General features: G+C 39.0%; 1 protein-coding gene across 13 annotated transcripts in view; it reads right to left on the minus strand.

The window, feature by feature from the left end:
* FAM135B (family with sequence similarity 135 member B) overlaps nucleotides 1-25,101 on the minus strand; it is a 367,708-nt gene that overhangs the window by 272,313 nt on the left and 70,294 nt on the right. The window contains exon 1 of one of the 13 annotated variants that reach the window (XM_011517059.2): nucleotides 23,101-23,553. The exons of the other annotated variants lie outside the window; for them this stretch is intronic. The gene's annotated coding sequence lies outside the window, so the exon portion shown is untranslated. Of the gene's footprint in view, nucleotides 1-23,100; nucleotides 23,554-25,101 lie in introns of those variants that run through there. 13 annotated transcript variants of the gene reach the window in all.

Genomic DNA, 25,101 nt, shown 5'->3' on the forward strand with positions numbered 1-25,101 from the left:
CACATTCAAGAAGTTAACTGGGAAGAATGTTCATTTCTGATTCTGTGCTCAGCTCTTGATGTTTTTGACCCAGGTGTGTAAGGACCAGATGGCTTCTGTTTACTGTAGCTCACCTCAGGCAAAACCCACAATTCTGTTATGTCTGCACCCTCAAATAACCATTATAAACAACATAGCCAGAGACTCTGGGACCAGACCTTGCATTCAGTGATTCCCCTACATTAACTCACCTCTATGCAGAGAAGTAGGTGCTCCCTGTTGAAGATGATAAAACCAAGATACAAAGAGAGTAAATAACTTGGCCAAGGTCCAAAAGTAGGAAGGGACAGGACTGGAATTCACTGTGGCATTCTGACTCCAGAACTGCTGTTCTCAGTCACTATACTACACTACCAAGGTTATCATCCCAGTGCAAAAGTGAATAATGCAAGTTAAATTAGAATTTGTGAGGAAATGAGCACTATGGACTGAATGTTTGTGTTTTCCAAACAATTCACATGGTAAAGCCCTAACCCCTGATGTGATGGTTTTTGGAGGTGGAGTTTTGGGGAGGCCATTAGATCATGAAGGTGGAAACTCTCAAGGGAGATGAGTGACCTTACAAGAAGAGACATGAAAGAGATGATCTTTCTCTCTGCCACGTGAGGACACAGCAAAAAGACGGCCATCTGCAAACTGAAGCAGGCCCTTACTAAATGGCAAATCAGCTCGTACCTTGATCGTGGAGACCCCAGCCTCAGAACTGTGAGAAATAAGTGTTTGCTGTTTAAGCCATCCTGTCTATGGTATTTGTTATAGCATCCTGAACTAAAATGAGAAAATATTTATCTCACTTACTCCACAGCAAAACATACTGATGATCCAATGAGACAACTCCTTACCAGTTCCTTTCCAGAGGCAAACCCCTTCTCTCCCTCTTCCCATTCAACCCTTCAAATGTCCAGACAAAGCCCTCTCACCTTCCATTCCCATGCTTTTACGTGAGAGAACCAGCCCTGCAGGTAGACAGACCCATCACCAACCTTGGAGAACAACCCGGATATCATTCATGATATCCAAGTCAAGTCTATTGGGAGGGTTCATTCAAACAGGTCACCAAATTGTTGATTCTCAACAACATAGAGTTCTTCATACAAAAAGGAGTCTGCTGCTATGAAATATAAAGTTTCCTCATATTGTTACACAGGGATTATTTGATTTAATCCTTATAACAATCTATAAAAAATTCATAAATGTTTATCTCTGCTCTGCAGATAAGAAAACTGAGCTAGAGAAGGTTGACAAGGCATCCCAATACCAATGGAGAGTGGGGCTGGACCATGACCTTTTGCTCTAGGCAGAGCAACCCTGAAAACTTGGTCCCTTTAGCACATTCTGTGCCTCTTCTGAATGGTTATCTGCCCATTCCCCTCCCCCAAAGACCTACACCTCAGTGTTCCTCCAGTGTTTCATGCAGCAAATTTTCTAAGCTGTTCATTGGTATGAGGCAGAGGTTCTCAACTAGATGTCGGAGGCAACTTTGCCAGCAATGTCTGAAAACATTTTTTAATTTTCAATACTGGAGGGAGCCATCAGCATTTAGTGTGTAGAAGACAGATGTGTGGATAAACATCCTAACATGAATAGGGAAGTACTTGCACAACAATAGTATTAAGGTTGAGAAATCCTAGGAACAGGATACACAAAGAAAATTATAGGTAATCTTACACCATTTTGAGTGATTTTCTTATATTCAATTATAGGTATACCTTGGTGATGTTGCAGGTTCAGTGCCAGACCACCACAATAAAGCAAATATCACTAAATATTTGCTACTTAAATAAAATAAATAAATAATAAAAATAACTATTCATGGATTTTTTTGGTTTCTCAGTGCATATAAAAGTTATGTTCGCACTATAATGTAGTCTATTAAGTGTGCAATGCCATTATGTTTAATTAAAAAAATGCACACATCTTATTTAAAACTATGTTATTGCTAAAAAATTATAATAATCATCTGAACCTTCAGTGAGCCATATCTTTTGCTGATGGAGAGTCTTGCCTCAATGTTGATGGCTGCTGACTGATCGGGGTAATAGTTGCTGAAGGTTAAGGTGACTGTGACAAATTCTTAAAATAAGACAACAATGAAGTTTGCCATGTCATTGGACCCTTCCTTTCATGAAAGATCTCTCTGTAGCATGTGATAGCATGCTTGCTAACATTTTACCCAAAGTAGAACGTTTTTCAGAATTAGAGTAAATCCTCCCAAATCCTACAGCTGCCTTATCAACTAAGATTATAGAATATTTTAAATCCTCTGTTGTCATTTCAACAATGACAACGACTTCACCAGGAGTACAGTTCATCTCAAGACACCACTTTCTTTGCTCGCTCATAAGAAGCAACTTCTCATCCATCAAAGTTTTATCATGAGATTGTAGCAGTTCAGTCACATCTTCAGGCTCCACTTCTAATTGTAGTTATCTTTCTACTTCTAACACATCTACAGTTACTTCTTCCACTGAAGTCTTGAACCTCTTAAAGTCATCCATGAGGGTTGCTATTAACTTCGTCCAAAGTTCTGTTAACGTTGATATTTTTACCTCCTCCCATGAATCACCAATGTTCTTAATGGCAGCTAAAATTATGAATCCTTTCCAGAAAGTTTTCAATTTACTTTTCCCAAATCCAGTAGAGGAATCACTACCTATTGCAGCTATAGCCTCACTAAATGTATTTCTTAAATAATAAAACTTGAAAGTCAAAATTACCCCCTGATCCACGGGTTTCAGAATTGATGTTGTGCTAGCAGGCTTGAAAACAAATTAATCTCCATCAGAGTGCTTGGGTGAACAGGTGCATTTTCAATGAGTAGTAATATTCTTTTTTTTTCTTTTTTTTTTCTTCTTATTATTATACTTTAAGTTTTAGGGTACAAGTGCACAATGTGCAGGTTAGTTACATATGTATACATGTGCCATGCTGGTGTGCTGCACCCATTAACTCGTCATTTAGCATTAGGTATATCTCCTAATGTTATCCCTCCCCCCACCCCACAACAGTCCCCAGAGTGTGATGTTCCCCTTCCTGTGTCCATGTGTTCTCATTGTTCTATTCCCACCTATGAGTGAGAACATGCGGTGTTTGGTTTTCTGTCCTTCCGATAGTTTACTGAGAATGAAGATTTCCAATTTCATCCATGTCCCCACAAAGGACATGAACTCATCATTTTTCATGGCTGCATAGTATTCCATGGTGTATATGTGCCACATTTTCTTAATGCAGTCTATCATTGTTAGACATTTGGGTTGGTTCCAAATCTTTGCTATTGTGAATAGTGCCACAATAAACATACGTGTGTATGTGTCTTTATAGCAACATGATTTATAGTCCTTTGGGTATATACCCAGTAATGGGATGGCTGGGACAAATGGTACTTCTAGTTCTAGATCCCTGAGGAATCGCCACACTGACTTCCACAATGGTTGAACTAGTTTACAGTCCCACCAACAGTGTAAAAGTGTTCCTATTTCTCCACATCCTCTCCAGCACCTGTTGTTTCCTGACTTTTTAATGTTTGCCATTCTAACTGGTGTGAGATGGTGTCTCATTGTGGTTTTGATTTGCATTTCTCTGATGGCCAGTGATGATGAGCATTTTTTCATGTGTCTTTTGGCTGCATAAATGTCTTCTTTTGAGAAGTGTCGGTTCATATCCTTTGCCTACTTTTTGATGGGGGTTGTTTGCTCCTTTCTTGTAAATTTGTTTGAGTTCATTGTAGATTCTGGATATCAGCCCTTTGTCAGATGAGTAGGTTGCGAAAATTTTCTCCCATTTTGTAGGTTGCCTGTTCACTCCGATGGTAGTTTCTTTTGCTGTGCAGAAGCTCTTTAGTTTAATTAGATCCCATTTGTCAATTTTGGATCTGAAATTGTGGCAATAATCAATAGCTTACCAACCAAAAAGAGTCTAGGAGCAGATGGATTCACAGCTGAATTCTACCAGAGGTACAGGGAGGAACTGGTACCATTCCTTCTGAAACTATTCCAATCAATAGAAAAAGAGGGAATCCTCCCTAACTTATTTTATGAGGCCAGCATCATCCTGATACCAAAGCCGGGCAGAGACACAACCAAAAAAGAGAATTTTAGACAAATATCCTTGATGAACATTGATGCAAAAATCCTCAATAAAATACTGGCAAACAGAATCCAGCAGCACATCAAAAAGCTTATCCACCATGATCAAGTGGGCTTCATCCCTGGGATGCAAGGCTGGTTCAATACATGCAAATCAATAAATGTAATCCAGCATATAAACAGAACCGAAGACAAAAACCACATGATTATCTCAATAGATGCAGAAAAGGCCTTTGACAAAATTCAACAACCGTTCATGCTAAAAACTCTCAATAAATTAGGTATTGATGGGACGTATCTCGAAATAATCAGAGCTATGTATGACAAACTCACAGCCAAAATCATACTGAATGGGCAAAAACTGGAAGCATTCCCTTTGAAAACTGGCACAAGACAGGGATGCCCTCTCTCACCACTCCTATTCAACATAGTGTTGGAAGTTCTGGCCAGGGCAATTAGGCAGAAGGAAATAAAGGGTATTCAATTAGGAAAAGAGGAAGTCAAATTGTCCCTGTTTGCAGACGACATGATTGTATATCTAGAAAACCCCAATGTCTCAGCCCAAAATCTCCTTAAGCTGATAAGCAACTTCAGCAGAGTCTCAGGATACAAAATCAATGTACAAAAATCACAAGCATTCTTATACATCAATAACAGACAAACAGAGAGCCAAATCATGAGTGAACTCCCATTCACAATTGCTTCAAAGAGAATAAAATACCCAGGAATCCAACTTACAAGGGACGTGAAGGACCTCTTCAAGGAGAACTACAAACCACTGCTCAATGAAATAAAAGAGGACACAAACAAATGGAAGAACATTCCATGCTCATGGGTAGGAAGAATCAATATCGTGAAAATGGCCATACTGCCCAAGGTAATTTATAGGTTCAATGCCATCCCCATCAAGCTACCAATGACTTTCTTCACTGAATTGGAAAAAACTACTTTAAAGTTCATATGGAACCAAAAAAGAGCCCACATCGCCAAGTCAATCCTAAGCCAAAAGAACAAAGCCGGAGGCATCACGCTACCTGACTTCAAACTATACTACAAGGCTACAGTAACCAAAACAGCATGGTACTGGTACCAAAACAGTGACATAGATCAATGGAACAGAACAGAGCCCTCAGAAATAATGCTGCATACCTACAACTATCTGATCTTTGACAAACCTGAGAAAAACAAGCAGTGGGGAAAGGATTCCCTATTTAATAAATGGTGCTGGGAAAACTGGCTAGCCATATTTAGAAAGCTGAAACTGGATCCCTTCCTTACACCTTATACGAAAATTAATTCAAGATGGATTAAAGACTTAAATGTTAGACCTGAAACCATAAAAACCCTAGAAGAAAACCTAGGCACTACCATTCAGGACATAGGCATGGGCAAGGACTTCATGTCTAAAACACCAAAAGCAATGGCAACAAAAGCCAAAATTGACAAATGGGAGTAGTAATATTCTTAGAGGAATCTTTTTTTACTTTCTGAGCCGTAGGTTTCAACACTGGCCTTAAATATTCAGTAAACCATACTATAAATAGATGTGCTGTAATCCAGGCTTTGTTGTTCCATTTCTAGAGCACAGGCAGAGTAGATTTAGTGTAATTCTTAAGGACCCTAGGATTTTTGGAACGGGAAATGAATATTGGCTTCAACTTAAAGTCATCAGCTGCAATAGCCCCTAACAAAAGACGTCAGCCTTGGAAGCTTTGAAGCCAGGCAATGACTTCTCCTCTCTAGTTATCAAAGGTTTTTATGGCATCTTTTTCCTCTATAAGGCTGTTTATATCTACACTGAAAATCTGTTCCTTAGGGTAGCCACCTTCATCAGTGATTTCAGCTAGATCTTCTAACTTCTAACTGATAACTTGCTGCAGCTTCTATATCAGTACTTGTTCCTTCACCTTGCAGTTTAATGTTATAGAGATGGTTTCTTTCGTTAAACCCTCATTAATCAACCTCTGCTGGCTTCCAAATTTTTTTCTGCAGCTTTCTCACCTCTCTCAGCCACTATAGAATTGAAAAGAGTTAGGGCCTTGCTCTGGATTTTGCTTCTACTTAAGGGAATTTTTTAGTCCATTCTCACAGTGTCATAAATATACTACCTGAGACTGGATAATTTATGATCAAAATAGGTTTAATTGACTCACAGTCTTGCATGGCTGGGGGGCCTTAGGAAACTTACAATCATGGCAGAAGGTGAAGGGGAAGCAAAGCACGGCTTACATGGAAGCAGGAGAGAGAGCAAGAGCACAGGGGAACTGCCACTTTTAAACCATCGGATCTCATAAGGACTCCCTCACTACCATGAGAACAGCATGGGGGAAATCACCCCCATGATCCAGTTACCTCTCACCAGGTCCCTCTCTTGACACGTGGGGTTACAATCTGAGATGAGATTTGGGTAGGGACACAGAGCCAAAACATATCAGGAATGCTGTGGCTTGTTTGGTCTTCTATTCAAACCACAAAAACTTTCTCCATTTCAGCGATTAGGCTATTTTGCTTGCTTTTCATCTGTTAACTGAAAAAGTGATTTTAAATGTTCTTCAAGACCTTTTCCCTTATATTTACAACTTGACTACTGTTTGGCAAAAGAGGCCTAGCTTTCAGTTGATCTCAGCTTTTGACATGCCTTCCTCACAAAGCTTAATCATTTCTAGCTTTTAGTTTAAAGCGAGAAACATGCGACACTTCCTTTCACTTGTCCACTTAGAGGACACTGTAGGGTTATTAATTGGCCGATTTTCAGTATTGTTGTGTCTCCAGGATTAGGGAGGGCCAACGAGAGGAGAAAGATGGGGGAAGGGCCGGTAGGTGGAGCAGTCAGAACACACACGACATTTATCAATTAAGTTCACGGTCTTACATGGGCATGCTTCATGGCAGCCAAAACAATTACAATAGTAACATCAAAGAAGACTAATCATGGATCACCGCAGCAGACATAAAAATAATGAAAAGGTATGAAAATTGTGAGAATCAGCAAAATGGGACACAGAGACACAAAGTGAGCACATGCTGTTGGAAAAAAATAAAAGGTGCCAATAGACTTGCTGGAGGCAGGGTTGCCACAAACCTTTAATTTGTAAAAATTGCATCACCTAGGAAGGACAATAAAGTAAAGAGCAGACTGGGCATGTTGGCTCATGCCTGTAATCCCAGCACTTTGGGAGGCCGAGGTGGGTGGATCATGAGGTCAGAAGATCAAGACCATCCTGGCTAACGTGGTGAAACCGTGTCTCCACTAAAAATACAAAAAATTAGTCAGGCATGGTGGTGGGCGCTTGTAGTCCCAGCTACTTGGGAGGCTGAGGCAGTAGAATGGCATGAACTCAAGAGGCGGAGCTTGCAGTGAACCGAGATCGCGCCATTGCACTCCACTCCAGCCTGGGCGACAGAGTAAGACTCCGTCTCAAAAAAAAAAAAAAAAAAAAAAAGTGATGTATGCAAGAAGAGGATATGGAAGTCTGAGAGTTGACCAAGGTCATAAAGCTAGGACTTGAACCCCAAAGTTCAGCTTCAGGGCCCACATTCTAAACTGTCATTGCATTGCCTTTCACAGTTGAATGAGACACTGTCAATATTTTATACTGCTGGTGAGAGTGAAAAGGTTCTGCAGCAAGGACAGGATGGTGCCTGGAGCTGCCACTGTAAAGGCTGACTTAGAGAAAGCAGATATTTTTCTAAGTGGGGCTTACATATTACCAGGAAGGGCTCCAGGAGGAGGAGAGGTTGAAAAGACTCTGAGGTGAAGTCCTTGGTGGCATAAAATGACCACACCCCTGAGACTTCCCTGATTCCCAAATGCAATGCAGTTTGTGTAGCAGGCTGCTTCTAAGATAGCCCCAGTGAGCCCTGTTCCTGGTGTCGATGCCCTTGTGTGATCCTAAGGATTCTGGCTTCTACCTTGCTTGATCTCTCTTGCTTGGTCAGATGAAAGGCAAGTGCCATGTTGTAAACTGCCTTATGGAACTGGCGATATAGCCAAGGGACTGAGGGAAGCTTCCAGACAACAGCCTGTGGGAACAGAATCCTACCCACAGCAATTTGAGTGAACTTAGGACAAAATGCTCAACATCGCTAATCATCAGAGAAACATAAACCGAAACCATAATGAGATACTATCTTACACCAGTCAGAATGGCTATTATTAAAAAGTCAAAAAACAACAGATGTTGGCAAGGCTGTGGAGAAAAGCATTCGCTCATACACTGCTGGTGGAAATGTAAATTACCTCAGCCACTGTGGAAAGCGGTTGGAGATTTCCCAAAGAATATAAAACAGAACTACCATTCTACCCAGCAATCCCATTACTGGGTAAATATCTGAAAGAAAATAAATCATTTTACCAAAAACATACGTGTACTTATACGCCAACAACAGACAAACAGAGAGCCAAATCATGAGTGAACTCCCATTCACAATTGCTTCAAAGAGAATAAAATACCTAGGAATCCAACTTACAAGGGATGTGAAGGACCTCTTCAAGGAGAACTACAAACCACTGCTCAAGGAAATAAAAGAGGATACAAACAAATGGAAGAACATTCCATGCTCATGGGTAGGAAGAATCTATATCATGAAAATGGCCATACTGCCGAAGGTAATTTACAGATTCAATGCCATCCCCATCAAGCTACCAATGACTTTCTTCACAGAATTGGAAAAAACTACTTTAAAGTTCATATGGAACCAAAAAAGAGCCCACGTCACCAAGTCAATCCTAAGCCAAAAGAACAAAGCTGGAGGCATCACTCTACCTCACTTCAAACTATACTACAAGGCTACAGTAACCAAAACAGCATGGTACTGGTACCGAAACAGAGATATAGATCAATGGAACAGAACAGAGCCCTCAGAAATAATGCCACATATCTACAACTATCTGATGACAAACCTGAGAAAAACAAGCAACGGGGAAAGGATTCCCTATTTAATAAATGGTGCTGGGAAAACTGGCTAGCCATATGTAGAAAGCTGAAACTGGATCCCTTCCTTACACCTTATACGAAAATCAATTCAAGATGGATTAAAGACTTAAACGTTTGACCTAAAACCATAAAAACCCTAGAAGAAAACCTAGGCATTACCATTCAGGACATAGGCATGGGTAAGGACTTCATGACTAAAACACCAAAAGCAATGGCAACAAAAGCCAAAATTGACAAATGGGATCTAATTAAACTAAAAAGCTTCTGCACAGCAAAAGAAACTACCATCAGAGTGAACAGGCAACCTACAGAATGGGAGAAAATTTTCGCAACCTACTCATCTGACAAAGGGCTAATATCCAGAATGTACTTGTATGTTCATAGCAGTACTATTCATAATAACAAAGACATAGAGTCATCCTAGGTGCCCATCAGTGGTGGACTGAATAAAGAAAATGTACATATGTGTCATGAAATACTCTGCAGCCATAAAGAAACAAAATCATGTCCTTTGCAGCCACATGGATGCAGCTGGAGGCCATTTTCCTAAGCAAATTAATGCAGGAACAAAAAACCAAATACCGTATGTTCTCACTTATAAGTTGGAGCTAAACATTGGTTAGACATGGACATAAAAATTGCAACAATAGACAGTGGGGACTACTAGAAGGGGCAGTCGGGAAGGAGGGCAAGGGCTGAAAAACCAACTCTTAGATACTATGCCCGCTACCTGGGTGATGGGATCATTTGTATCCCCAGCCTCAGCATCATGCAATATACTCATGCAACAAATCTGCAAATGTACCCCTTGAATCTAACATAAAAGCTGAAATTATTTAAAGAAACAAAAGAAAAAGGAAGTGAGTCCTTCTTAAGAGGACTGCAGCCCCAGGCAACACATTAATTGCAGCTTAGTCAGAGACTCAGGCAGATAATCCAGCTAAGTCACACCCAGATTCCTGATCACAGACATTGTGACAAAATAAACGTTTTTGTTTCAAGCTGCTAACCTTGGGGGGTAATTTGTTACACAGCAGAGAAGACTAATAAAGTGTTCACATCAGATTCTTCCAACACACTTCTTCAGGTCCTCTGGGACTCACCTGGCTCCGAATCCAGTTATCTTTGAGGTGACCAGTCTTGCTTGGGCTCCAGTCACCTTCATGCAGGTGGAATCTGGTCCGACTTTGCTTCTGTCTTATATTGTACCTGTCTCCTCCCACCTGCCTTGCACCCACGCATGTCTATTTTGCAGATAAGTTAACTTGCTATGGTGCAAATCTTTGACCAGAGGGCAATGGAACAATGGATAATACATGATTTCCCCTTTCCTTTTTCCTGGAAATGGCATCCTGAGATACATTTCTTACTGCTTTTCAGGAACTGTTGTATGGTAACTGTGAAAGTATGCAACAATACCTACAGAGACAGCCACCTGGCAACACTTGCATCAGCAATCTCTCCTTCCATGATTTGCTTCCTGACTCTCTCTCCTGCTCCCTGGGATCACATCTCCCAAAACTGCATGTGCAGAAGCCTTTGTTGGGCTGTGATTTCTGGGCAATCTAAGCTAGGATGGACATTGTCTAATACATCAGAGATGCTCAGTCAGTGAAACTATCAAGCCTCTTCTCTGTATGGTTGAGTGACCCGGACCGTATTCCTTTTAATTTGAAAGTTTTATAATTCCCTATATTTTTATTTTGTTCTTATAGCCTCTTTCTTATCTTCATGAGAGAAGATAACAAAATGGAAGACACAAAGCAGTTCAGTGAACAAGTTTCAAATAGAATTGATGAAGTTTTTCCCTCCTAACTCACTCTCCTGTAACTCCTTCCACCCATTCCCTCCCTTGCTCTTCATTCCTTATTGGTACTTTCCAGTGTAGAGTTCCCCTGTCTCATCACCCTTTCATACTTCCAAGTCTTTGCTCATCTACTCCCCCTGCCACAAATAGCATCCAAATTTCTAGTTAATTATTATGTATTTTTAATGATACCACTTTAAAGTTTGTCTCATCCAGCAACTTAGGAAGCCTTCTCTAAAAACCTCCCTTTGGACGAAGTGTTCCTTCTCTGAGATCTCAGAAGAAACTAGAACATCTGACTGCCTTATTCATTTTTCATAAAAAACATTATAAACTTTGCTGGAACAACAACCATAGTATATTCATCTAACACCTTCAGTGCTTAATACTCTTCATTGAATGAATGAATAAATCCAATAAAGCAAGAAGAATGACTAAAACCAATTTTCCCTTGAATGTCGTGCTGACAATTTCAACATAAATCTGAAAGCTACTCAATTCTGTGTTGAAAGTTAGGGTGACTGGAATAAAAACTCACACTCTTTCAACCAGTTCCATATTCAGCCTGCACCCAGTTTGCTGTTATCAGTGCAGTTCAGCAAGGCAGACAATCTGGCCCTCCTCCTCTAGCACTTCAGAGCTTATGAGATGACATGGTAAAACGTGCAGAATAAACCTGGGGGGGTGGGTGACAAGCATTTTTCACCTCCCCTCTTGCCTTGGCTAGGCCTACACCCTTCACTTCCCAATATCCCACCTCTAACATCAACCTTATTTTCAAGAGTGAGAGCATGAAGTGTCCAAAGTTCTACAACCTTGGAAATGTCTACAGATCAATGACTTTTGAGACCAAAGAATGTGTGTGATAATTTAATAAATACAATATGCTTAAGTTCCCCTGTTCACACACAAATACATATATATATATATATATATGCACAAAAAATATATAAGAAGCTCATTAGCACTTGAGACAGTTCATTCTGTTTCTACCTAAATAATGAATATAGAGGATATCTGATATATTATTTTCTAGGTTGTGACCTGTGACAAGTCAGCTCACCCACTGAGCCTCAATTTTCTCATCCATACAACTGAACCATATGTGCCTGCATGACCTTGTACAAAGGATGATAGCAGCAATCACAGGAATGAATGGAGAACAACTTTGAAACATGAAGAGATGTTTTCTTCTAGTACAGACTGTTGTTCCTGTTCTACCTATAATCTAGGGCCATTGGGCATTCTTCATTCCCGAAACACCCCCCAAAAGAGATGGTGCATTAGAATTGCAGACATAAGAAGAGAATAGTTTATCCTTAATTTTAAGTTTTCAAACAGACTTTTGAATTTAATGAGTAAGATTTTAATTTAATAACAAAGAATTTGAAACTTCAAAACTCCAGGAATTTGGCCATGAATAGTAGCTTCAAGAGATTATTAACTGATTAATTTTTTTCCCCACTCTTCAACCTAAAAACTGGATAGAGTTTGATTGGACTAAGAGAATCTGAGACAGAGTCAAAGGGGAAGTGAAGATGGCTGTAGCACTTACCAGTCCCCCACTAAGAGGCTCCATGCATGCTCTCACCCCACCTTCAAACCTGGCTGAGTGTCCTAATTCTAAAGAAAAAAACATGAAATGACATGGAGGAATCTCTGTGCAGAGATGATCTGTGTCCTCATCCCTCATTCGAATTTGGGCACACAGCAGGTCCCTGAGTTCTCCAAGCACCAAATGGTTTCCTATCAAAGGACCTTAAAGGGTCCAGAATCCAGAAGTAGCAACTCGGGATAAGCAGTGAGAAGTTAATGACTGAGGATCCTATGGGAAGATGTAAAACTCAAAGGATGCTGGTGAGGAAGATAATGATCACAAGCTAAATACTCAATCCCCATGCTCAATTCTCAACTCCAATACTATAGCTCTCTGGAAATCCAAGAACTTGGTTTCAACCTCACAGAAAAGTGAGGAGAAATTCTTGATTTTGCTGTTGTTGTTAATCTATGGCCTGGAGATTAGAATAAAAATGAGGTTCAACTACAAAAAACAGCTCCATTTTTGCAAATCTAAGTTGGTGGGCTATGTTACCATGAGTAAAGGGACTCACACAGCATCTGGCCCAGAGCAGGTGTCCTGTTATTAACAGCTCCCTTCCCACAATGTTGAACTGACTCTGACCTCACAACACTCTCATAGCTCCCAGTTTAGCTCTCGTGGTGACAAAGACAAATGATTTAATCATAGAGTCTTTGCCCAGTATGGAACTTTCCAGGCCAGCTCTCTCAATTTAGAGTTTGGAACCTGAGACCCAGGGATGGGGAGAGACACTGCCAGACACAGCGAAGTAGCATCAGAGATAGGAGGGAAGCTCAGGTCTCCTGAATTTATGTTACAACTCTTTCCATTTCCCATGAAGCTTCCCAAGGAAAAAAGCCGAGGATGACTTTGCAGGAGATCATCAATAATTTAATTGGTGGAAGACAGAAGGGCAAGAGGGAGTTAATTAGTGTGAAGAGCTAATCAAGACAATATGGCCCCAAGGGGAATCCTAATACTCTCCAGCATCTGAGAATGAATGACAGTGACATAGTAACAAGTTGCTCTGATCCTTCACATCCCCATAGGCCCATCTCCTGAAATATGTTTCACATGGTTATGTGTTTATCAAATATCTCCATTGGTTTCACGGTGTCTAGAAACTAAAATTCTACTTCTTTGGCATAGCAGTCAAAGCCCTCTCTGTTCTTCCCTCAATGCCCTTTGCTAGCCTCAATGTTCTCTGCAGCCTTTTGGACAACCTCCTCTCCCTTCCCTTGGAGCATTCATGCCTGGTCCTCAATTTTTTGCCCAGTCTGCAAGACTCTCTTTCTTCATCCTCCCTCATGTATCAAAATTCAGCTCAGTTTGTAAGGCACAGTTTAGATGGCACTTTCCCTTGATCCCCCAGGACAAAATAAATCTTAATTCTCTGTACTTTTGGAGTACAAAACTAGGAGAATAGTAAAGCAGAGCAATAGAGAGGTTAAAGCACAGGAGCTTAAGTCAAACAGACCAGCCACTTACTAGTTACATGATCCTTAGCAAATTCCCTAACCTCCCTGAACCTTTAATTTGCAAAATGAGATATTAATGTTGTCACCTCCTAAGGGCATGTGACTTACATAATACATAAGACCTGTTGTTTTGCACAATGTTTGGTACTTGTTTTATTTCATCCAGTCTAATACAGCTGGAGTAAAATATAATAATATGCATAATCATATTTTAATGCCTCACTTTTTATCTTGTGTTATCATCCTTTTAGTCTATCTTTTCCCCTTCTCTGTATAAGTTCCAGAGGGTCAGATTTATGTCTTGCTCATTCACTCATTCAAAAATTAGTTATTATACACCAATGTATGTCAGATATTCTTCTAAGCACTGGAGATACTGAGCTGAAACCAAACAAACATAATTCCTATTCCCAAAGATTTTACTTTTGAGCAAGATGGCTGACTAGATGTGGACAGGAAGAGCTTCTCCCACCAAGATACCAAATCATCAAGAAGATTAGCACACTCCAAACAGATCTCCAGAAAGAAGGCACAGAGAGTGAATGGAGGGAGGGTGCAGATGCAAGGCTAAAAGGGGAGGAAGGTAGAAGCCCTGCATGGAGTTGCCAAGCACCAGGACTCAGTCCTGGCCCAGAGTGGATCCTGGGGAAGAGGTGTGTGAAAGAGGCATGGAGTGGCCCAGTCTCATCATGGACCTCCAGAATCCTAGCTTCAGGAGATTCCACAACCCCGATGGACATTTAAGCTGGCAGGAAACTGCCCAGAGAGATGGCAGAGACAGAACTCCAGCCTGCATGTAGCTTAGAGAATATGGCTTGGGAACAACTATAGTGGAGCACAGTCATTGGTGCTCATCCTCCTAGGCTCACAATACCCCTCTAGCTGGCTTTAGCCTTGATTGACTGACAGACCTGAACAGAGCAGGGCTATCTTTCCCATGGGAGGGGGCCAGTCTGATCTGACTGTCCTCATCTGCTGGCTTATCCCAGAGTCCCTGCCTGACTGCACCTAGTTGCAACACAGCCTCAGCTGCCCAGCCCAGGCACCTGCCAGTGGCCTGCACCATAGCTCTTTCACTGGCAGACCTGCCTAAAGCTGGAGGGCTTCCATAGGCAGGCCCTCACCACCAGCAACCCTCTCCCCATGCTGCTTTTTTGGTGTATACTCACCCCCAGCCGTTCCTTGCTGCTTTGCTAGTGCTCACTCGCCCACAATCTCCCCTGGCTGCCACTGGCATGAATGTGTACATGGGACCAGCCACTGCCCCACCACTGCCCTGCTGAAGCATGCTTGCCAGCATTGCCCATGACAGTATTGTTACCAATGGACTGGGGACACCTTGGCTCCTCCAACACAGCAGGTGCTTAACCTCGAGAGGCCAGAGAGAAAAAATATGCAGGCCTGGTCCCAGACTACCACAGTTAGTGCACACAGCCCAAGAGTGCTGAGCTAAGCCTTGGACCCCTGAAATCAATGAGAAATTAAGCCAATTAACTAAGCCCAAACTATACCACAGTCAAAAGCATCAAAGAATCCCACCCAAAATACAGTAATTTTAAACATTAAAGGAACATCAACCCATTCACATGAGAAAAAATAAGCATAAGAACTCTGGTGACACTAAAAGCCAGTCTTCTTACCTCCAAAGGAGTGCCCTAACTTCCCAGCAATGGTTCTTAACCATGCTAAAATGGCTAAAATGGCAGACGTCAAATTCAGAATCTGGATGATAATGATTATCATCAAGTTTCAGGAGAAAGTTGAAACCCAATCCAAGGAATCTAAAAAATCCAATAAAATTTATATAAGAGCTGAAAGATGAAATGGCTATTTTAAGAAAGAACAAAAGTAATCTCCTAGAGCTGAAAAACTCACTATAAGAATTTCATAATATAATCAGAAGTATTAACAGCAGAATATACAAAGATGATGAAAGAATCTCAGAGCTTGAATACTGGTTCTTCAAACCAACTCAGACAAAAGTAAAGTGAAAAGAATTTTTAAAAGTGAATGAAACCTTGGGAAAATGAGGGATTATGTAAAAAGACCAAACCTATGACTCATTGGCATCGCAGAAAGAGAGGGAGCAAGCAACTTTGAAAACATATTTGAGGATATTGTCCATAAAATTTCCCCAACCTTACTAGAAAGGTCAATATACAAATTCAGAAAATCCAGAAAACTGCGAGATGCTATACAAGATGACCATTCAAAATTAGTTATAGACACATAGTCATCAGATTCTCCAAGGTCAACATGAAAAAAAAAAGTAAAGGCAGCTAGAGAGAAGAGGTAGATAATGTAGAAAAGGATCTCCATCAGACTACCAGCAGAACTCTCAGCAAAAGCCTTACAAGACAGAAGAGATTGAAAGCATATATTCAGCATCTTTAAAGAAAAGAAATTCCAGCCAAGAATTTTATATCTAGCAAAGCTAAGCTTCGTAAATGAAGGATAAATAAAATCCTTTTCAGACCAGCAAACACTAAGGGAACTTGTTAACAAATCTGTAACCAATTATCTTAGTGTTTGCTGATCTGAAAAAGATTTTCTTTTCACATCAGCCTTACTAGAAGTCCTTAAGGGAGTGCTAAACATAGAAAAAAAAAACACTCACCAACCACAAAAAAAAAAAAAAAACATACTTAAGCACATAGCGCACTGACACTACAACAACTACACAATAAAGTCTACATAATAACTAGCTAACATAAGATAACAGAATTAAATCCTTACATATGAATATTAACCTTGAACATAAACAGGCTAAATGCCCCACTTAAAAGGCACAGAGTGGCAAGATGGATAAAGAAGCAAGAAGACCAAACTGTATGCTGTCTTCAAGAGACCCATCTCACATGCAATGACGCCACAGATTCAAAGTGAAGAAATGGAGAAAGATCTATCAAGCAAACAGAAAACAACAGAAAAGAGCAGAGGTTGCTATTCTTATTTCAGAGAAAACAGACTCTAAACCAACAACAATAAAAAATGACAAAGAATGGTGTTACATAATGATAAAGGGTTCAACTCAACAAGAAGACTTAACTATACTAAATACATATGCACCCAACATTGGAGCACCAGACTCATAAAAAAAGTTCTTAGAGACCTACAAAGACAATTAAATAGCCACACAATAATAATAGGAATCTTTAACCCCCTACTGATAGTATTAGACATATCATCAAGGCAGGAAACTAACAATGATATTCAGAACCCAAACTCGACACTTTACCAAAGTGACCTAACAGACATCTACAGAACATTCCACCCAACAATAACAGAATATACATTATTCTTATCAGCACATGGCAACTACTCTAAGATCAACCACACATTTGGCCATAAGGCAATTCTCAACAAATTTTTAAAAATAAAATCATATCCATGTTCTCAGACCACAGCACAATTAAAAATAATAATATCAAGAAGATATCTCAAAACCATGCAATTACATGGAAATCAAACAATTTGCTCTTGAGTAACTTTTGGGTAAAGAATGAAATTAAGACAGAAATCAATGTTTTGAAACTAATGAAAACAAAGATACAACATACCAGAATCTCTGAGATACAGCTAAAGCAGTGTTAGAAAGTTAATAGTGCTAAACACCTACATCAAGTTACAGAAAGGTCTCAAATTAACAACCTAACATCACACCTAGGGGAACCAGAAAAACAAGAGCAAATGAACTCCAAAGCTAGCAAAAGAAAAGAAATAACCATAATTGAGATTCAGTGAATGAAATCAAGATACAAAAATATATACAAAAGATCAACAAAACCAAAATCTGGTTCTTTGAAAAAATAAGTAATAGTGATAGACCTCTAACTGGACTAATAAAGAAAAAAGGGAGAAGATACACATAATCATAATTAGAAATGGCAAAGGGGACACTACCACTGACCCAACAGGAATACAGAAAAAAAGAAAAAACACTCAGAGACTATTACAACACCTCTATGCATGCAAACTAGAAAACCTACAAGAAATTGATAAAATTCCTGGAAACATAAAATTTCCCAAAACTGAACCAGGAAGAAATTGAACACCTCAAGAGACTAATAATGCATTCCAAAACTGAATCAATAATAAAAAATCTATCAATCATAAAAAGCCCTGGATCAGAGAGATTCACAGTCAAAATTTACCAGATATAGACAGTACAGGTGACACCAAAACTACTGAAATATTTTCAAAACATCAAGGAGTAGGGACTCCTCTCTAACTCACTCTATGAGGCCAGCATCATTCTATTAATAACACCAAAACTGGGCAGAGACACAACAGAAAAAGAAAACAGTCCACTATCCTTGATGAATGTAGATGTAAAACTCCTACCAAATCAAATCCACCAGCACATCAAAAAGCTAACCCACCAAGATCAGTAGGCTTTTTTTCCTAGGATGACAAGTTGTTTCAACATACACAAACCAATAAATGAGATTCATCACATAAACAGAACTAAAAACAAAAAACACATGATCATCTCAATAGGCACAGAAAAGGCTTTCAACGAAATTCAACATCCCTTTATATTAAAAGCCCTAAACAAACTAGGAATTAAAGGAGCATACCTCAAAATAACAAGAGATGTCTAAGGCAAACCTACAAGCCAACATAATTCTGAATGGGCAAAAGCTGGAAGCATTCCCCTTGAGCACTGGAACCACACAAGGCTGCCAAATCTCACCACAACTATTTAACATAGTGCTCAAAGTACTAGCCAGAGCAATAAGGCAAGAGAAAGAAATAAAAGACATCCAGGCTGGGTGCAGTGGCTCACGCCTGTAATCCCAGCACTTTGGGAGGCAGAGGCAGACAGATCATGAGGTCAGGAGATTGAGACCATCCTGGCTAACACGGTGAAACCCTGTCTCTAGTAAAAATACAAAAAAAATTAGCCAGGCATGGTGGCAGGCAACTGTAGTCCCAGCTACTCAGGAGGCTGAGGCAGGAGAATGGCATGAACTGGGGAGGCAGAGCTTGCAGTGAGCCACGATTGCACCACTGCATTCCAGCCAGGGCAACAGAGCGAGACTCTGTCAAAAAAAAATATATATCTAAATAGGGAAAAGGTAAGACAAACTATCTGTTTTCACAGATGATATGGTTTTACACCTATAAAATCCCGTAGTCTCTGTATAGAAGCTCTTAGAACTGACAATTTCAGTATGGTTTCAAGATACAAAAGTCAATGTACAAAATCAGCATTTCTATACATAATTAATGTCTAAGCTGAGAACCAAATAAAAAATGCAATCCCATTCACAATAGTCACAAATATAATAAAACACCTAAGAATACAGCTAACCAGGGATGTCAAAGAACTCTACAGCAAGAATTACAAAAACTGCTGAAAAAAGTCAGAAATGACACAAACAAATAGAAAAACATTCCATGCTTATGGATAGGAAGAATAAACATTGTTAAAATGTCCATACTGTCCAAAGAAATTTACAGATTCAATGCTATTTTTATCAAACTACCAATATCATTTTCATAGAATTAGAAAAAACTATTCCAAAATTAATATGAAACTGAAAGAGCCTGAATAGCCAAAACAATACTAAGGAAAAAGAAAAAAGCTAGAGGCATTACATTACCCAATTGCAAACTGCACTACAAGGCTACAGAAACCAAAACAGCATGGTATGTGTACAAAAACAAACACATAGACCAATGGAACAGAACAGGTTAGAGAACTCAGAAATAAAGCCACACAACTACAAAGTCAACAATAACAAGCAATGGAAAAGGTCTCCCTATTCAATAAATTGTGCTGGGATAACTGGCTAGCCATAAGCAGAAGATTAAAACTGGACTCCCCCTTTCACCATACACAAAAAAGTCAACACAAAATGGATTAAAGACTTAAACATAAAACCTGAAATCATAAAAACCCTAGAAGAAAACCTAGGAAATACCATTCTGGACATCCACCTTCACAAAGATTTTATGACGATGACTCTAAAAGCAATTATAACAAAAACTAAAATAGGCAAGTGGGACCTCACTAAACTAAAAAGCTACTGCACAGCAAAGGAAATTATTAATAGATTAAACAGAAAACCTACAGAATTGGAGAGAATATTTGCAAACTATTTGTCTAATAAGGGTCTAATATCTAGAACCCATAATAAACTTTAACCAACAAGCAAAAGACAAATAACCCCATTTTTAAAAAGCCAAAGGACATGAACAGACACTTCTCAAAATAAGACATACCTGCAGCCAACTAGCATATGAAAAAATGCTCAACATCACTAATCACTAGAGAAATTCAAATCAAAACTACAATATCATCTCACACCAGTCAGAATGGCTACAATTAAAAAGTCAAAAAATAACAGAAAAAGGAATGTTTATACACTGCTGATGGTAATATAAGTTAGTTCAGCCACTGTAGAAAGCAGTTTGGGTTACAGATTTCTGAAAAAAACAAAAACAAAAACAAAAACAAAAAGCTATCATTCAACCCAGCAATTGTATTATTGGGTGTATATCCAATTGAATATAAATTGTTCTACTGTAAAGACACATATACTCATATGTTCACTGCAGCACTTTTCATAATAGCAAAAAGACATGTAATTTACATACATATCCATTAACAGTGGACTGAATAAAGAAAATGTGGTCAATATACACCATGGAATACGATGCAATCATAAAAGAGAATGAAATCATGTTCTTTGCCGCCAACATGGATGCAGCTGGAGGCCATTATCCTAAGCAAATTAACACAAGAACAGAAAACCACAGACCACATGTTCTTACTTATAAGTGGGAGTTAAACACTGAGTACACATGTACAATAATAGGGAAACAACAGACACCAGGGCTTACATGAGGGTAGAGAGTGGGAGGGGGGTGAGGATTGAAAATCTACCTTTTGAGTACTATGCTCAGTATCTGAGTGATGAAATAATTTGTAAGCCAAACCCAGACAAGGGGCAACTTACCTATGTAAAAAATCTGTACTTTTACCCTTTGAACCTAAAATAAAAGTTAGCGGAAAAAAAGCCTTTGCTTTCTACTTAGGGAGATATCGGGGAAAATTCAGCCAGATATCGGGCGAAATTCACCCCCGATATTTCACATGGGTTCTTTTCTATTTTCCCTAAGCATCAGCCAGGTTGAGAAATAAAGGGACAGAGTACAAAAGAGAGAAATTTTAAAGCTGGGTGTCTGGGGGAGACATCACATGTCGGTAGGTTCCGTGATGCCCCACAAGCCGCAAAACCAGCAAGTTTTTATTAGTGATTTTCAAAGGGGAGGGAGTGTATGAATAGGGTGTGGGTCACAGAGATCATCAGCTTCACAAGATAATAGAATATCACAAGGCAAATGGAGGCAGGGCGGGATCACAGGACCACAGGGCCAGGGCAAAATTAAAATTGCTAATGAAGTTTCGGGCACACATTTTCATTGATAACATCTTATCAGGAGACAGGGTTTGAGAGCAGACAACCTATCTGACCAAAATTTATTAGGTGGGAATTTTCTCATCCTAATAAACCTGGGAGCACTATGGGAGACTGGGGCTTATTTCATCCCTACAGCTCGACCATAAAAGACGGCTGCACCCCAGGGGGCCATTTTAGAGGCCTACCCTCAGGGGTGCATTCTCTTTCTCAGGGATGTTCCTTGCTGAGAAAAAGAATTCAGCCATATTTCTCCCATTTGCTTTTGAAAGAAGAGAAATATGGCTGTGTTCTGCCCAGCTCACCAGCGGTTGGAGTTTAAGGTTTTCTCTCTTGCCTGAACATTGCTGTTATCATGTTCTTTTTTTCAAGGTGCCCAGATTTCATATTGTTCAAACACACATGCTCTACAAACAATTTGTGCAGTTAACGCAATCATCACAGGGTCCTGAGGCGACATACATCCTCCTCAGCTTATGAGATGACAGGATTAAGATATTAAAGACAGGCATAGGAAATCACAAGGGTATTGATTGGGGAAGTGATAAGTGTCCATGAAATCTTCACAATTTATGTTCAGAGATTGCAGTAAAGAGAGGCGTAAGAAATTATAAAAGTATTAATTTGGGGAACTAATAAATGTCCATGACATCTTCACAATTTATGTTCTTCTGCCATGGCTTCAGCCGGTCCCTCCGTTCGAGGTCCCTGACTTCCCACAACAGTGAGAAAGACATGTAGATGTATATATCTTCAATACCTTCTTAGATTCTAGCACAAAGATCTGCACAAATGGGTATCTACTTTAAAATTTACCCTTGACAAAGTAGTTTCTTAGTGCTAAATGTCAGACTAAGCAATTTCTATGCATTATCTCAATGAATATTTACAACTTCCCAGTGCTCTCCCTATTTTAACACTAGAAAATTATGGCTCTGTCAGGTTATGTGGTTTGTTCAAGGATCCACAATTAGGAAGCAATGACATTAGAATTCAAATTCAGATGTGCCTTACCCCAAAACTCTTGTCCATTCCACTAGATTTTAGTGCCTCTACTTATTGGATACTTAGTTGTTGTCTCAATAAATAAACTGATGGGTAAAATAACACTATGAGGAGTAGGGAAAACTTTCAGGATTCCATTTTGTCTTTGCTTTCTAAAATTACAAACCATGACATTTTTTGAACCATCCATCACATTGAATTTTATGAATATTGTTCATTCCTCAGGTTGCTATTCAAAGTACATTACAGTGCATTGCTACCATTTAGCCTTTGTAAGGCTCAATGAGCCAGCCAACTCCATTGATTATCTGTCACTTCAGAATATGTCTGTCACAAATTCATCCCAAAGCCATGTTGGGCCAACCACATGGTCATCCTTATCTTTGACTTAATTTCACCATTCATAATAAGAGCTACCATAATGTGTACAAGCATTATATATTTTAAAAGTAATAAGAGCTGGCATTGAGTGGGTGTTCACTTGTTGCCATGAACTCTCCTGAGTATTATATACATGGATACATTTGATCCTTACAGCAGCCTTTGATGTGGGTAAGATTGCTCAGTATCACAGATGGAAAAGACTCAGAGCACTAGCAATCTGACCAAAGTTCAAACAGAGCAAATAAGAAGCAGGACCAGATCTCAAAGAGCATAGCTTTCAGGCCACAAGCATTTGCTTGGAAACATCATGTGTAGTTGGTGAAAAGGTAAATATTATTCTGAGTAAGGCTTCTCACCAATAAGATGCGGTTGCGAAGGGAGTGGGGACAGAACCTCCTTATGTATTCATAAAACTGTCCAGAGAGAAAGCACCTCTGGCTCTTGAAGGTGTGGTCTCTATAGTGGCCATCCAGAATCCTATTGTTCAGAGCAGCTCCTCTCATTGGCTTAAATGAACATTCCATTTGGAATGATTCTAGTGTAATGGAGAAGAAAGAGTGTGCTAAGCCTCATTCACCCTCTTCAGAGTAGAATGAATACAGACAGGCTTGGCTTTTCATCCTGGCTTCAACTCTTACTCAGTGTAGATACCATGCTTTCTCCTGAACTTTGGTCAAACAATTGTTGGTCAGGTACTGTCCTAGGTGCTGAAGTCACATAAAAGAATGAGGCTCGGTTTACACCAGCAAAAAGTTCACAGGAACTGGAGAATATAAATATACTATGGGGTCTGTCGTGGAGGCTCATGCCTGTAATCTCAGCACTTTGGGAGGCCAAGGCGGGCAGATCACCTGAAGTCAGGAGTTCGAGACCAGCCAGGCCAACATATATATATATATATATATATATATATATATATATATATATATATATACACACACATACATATACACACACACACACACACACACATATATATATACACACACACACATATATAAAATGTTTTATGTATGTTTTATATATATATATACACATATGTGTGTGTGTGTGTGTGTGTATATATATATATAATGCTAAGCACAACCAGAAAAAACTCTAAGCCTCAAGTTGTACATCAAAATATTGTACCAAGGAAGACTACATCAAACTTCATTTGTAATCTGGTAAGCACAAAATAACATCATAATATGGCACTTCATATTGACCAGAATGGCTAAGCTAAAATATAAAAGCAGAGATTACCAAGTGTGGATGTGGATGTGAAATGACTGAAATTTTTGTATATTGCTGGAGAAGTGTAAATTGGTATGGCTACTTTGGAAAACTATTTAGCAATATCTACTAAAACTAAGCATGCATGTACCTCATTACACAACTGTGCCATTCTTGGTGATATACTCAACTATATACACATATGTATACTATATATGTATAATATATGTATACATATATATAATGTGTATATATATACATTAAAAGACATGTATGAGAATGCTATTATCATTTTTATCATAATCTAATACTATAATTTATACAAATCTCATTAGAATGGGTAATTGAATTGTGGTATAGTCATACTTTAAAACACTTCATGGCAAAGAGAATAAAATACTATTCTATTAAGACAGGATTAAGATATTATTATTCTATTAAGAATCTATTAAGAGTAGACCTAAACACATATTCCTTGACCTATGAGACACGAATTATGATATCTACCTTTTAAAATATTTAAAAATTTTTTACATGGCACTGAATTTTGAGATATGGCTTTTAACTCGATTTCTCCAAAAATTCCTATTTTCTTATCCTGAAATGAAAACTATCTTCCCAAGATACAAATGAAGTTTTCTGAACCTTGACTTATGAGACAAGAATTATGATATAATAGAATAAAATACTATTCTATATGGCAATTTGGATTAATTGCATAATAATGTTTGAGCAAAAGAAGCCAAACAGAAAAAATATATACTGTCTGATCCTGTTTGTATAAACCTGTTCAAAAATAGTCAAAACTAACCTATGGTGTTATAACTCAGGATTGTAAATACCTTTGGTAGTGGGGAAGAGGGAGTGATTATGTGTAGACAGGAACAAAAGGGAGTTTTGGGGGTGTAGGTGATATTCTGTTTCTTGATCTGGGTGCTAGTTAAACTGAATCTTTGAGTTGGAAGAAATTCATCAAGATTATATATATATATATATAATATTTATGCATTCTACAAATATATATATATGCATTCTACAAATGTATATTTTAATAAAATACTTAAAAGTTTGTTACATGGCACTGAATTTTGAGACATGGCTTTTAAATTGATTTCTCCAAAATTTCTCATTTTTTATCCTGA

The sequence above is a fragment of the Homo sapiens genome, chromosome 8, assembly GCF_000001405.40.
Source record: "Homo sapiens chromosome 8, GRCh38.p14 Primary Assembly".
Classification (NCBI taxonomy): Eukaryota; Metazoa; Chordata; class Mammalia; order Primates; family Hominidae; genus Homo; species Homo sapiens.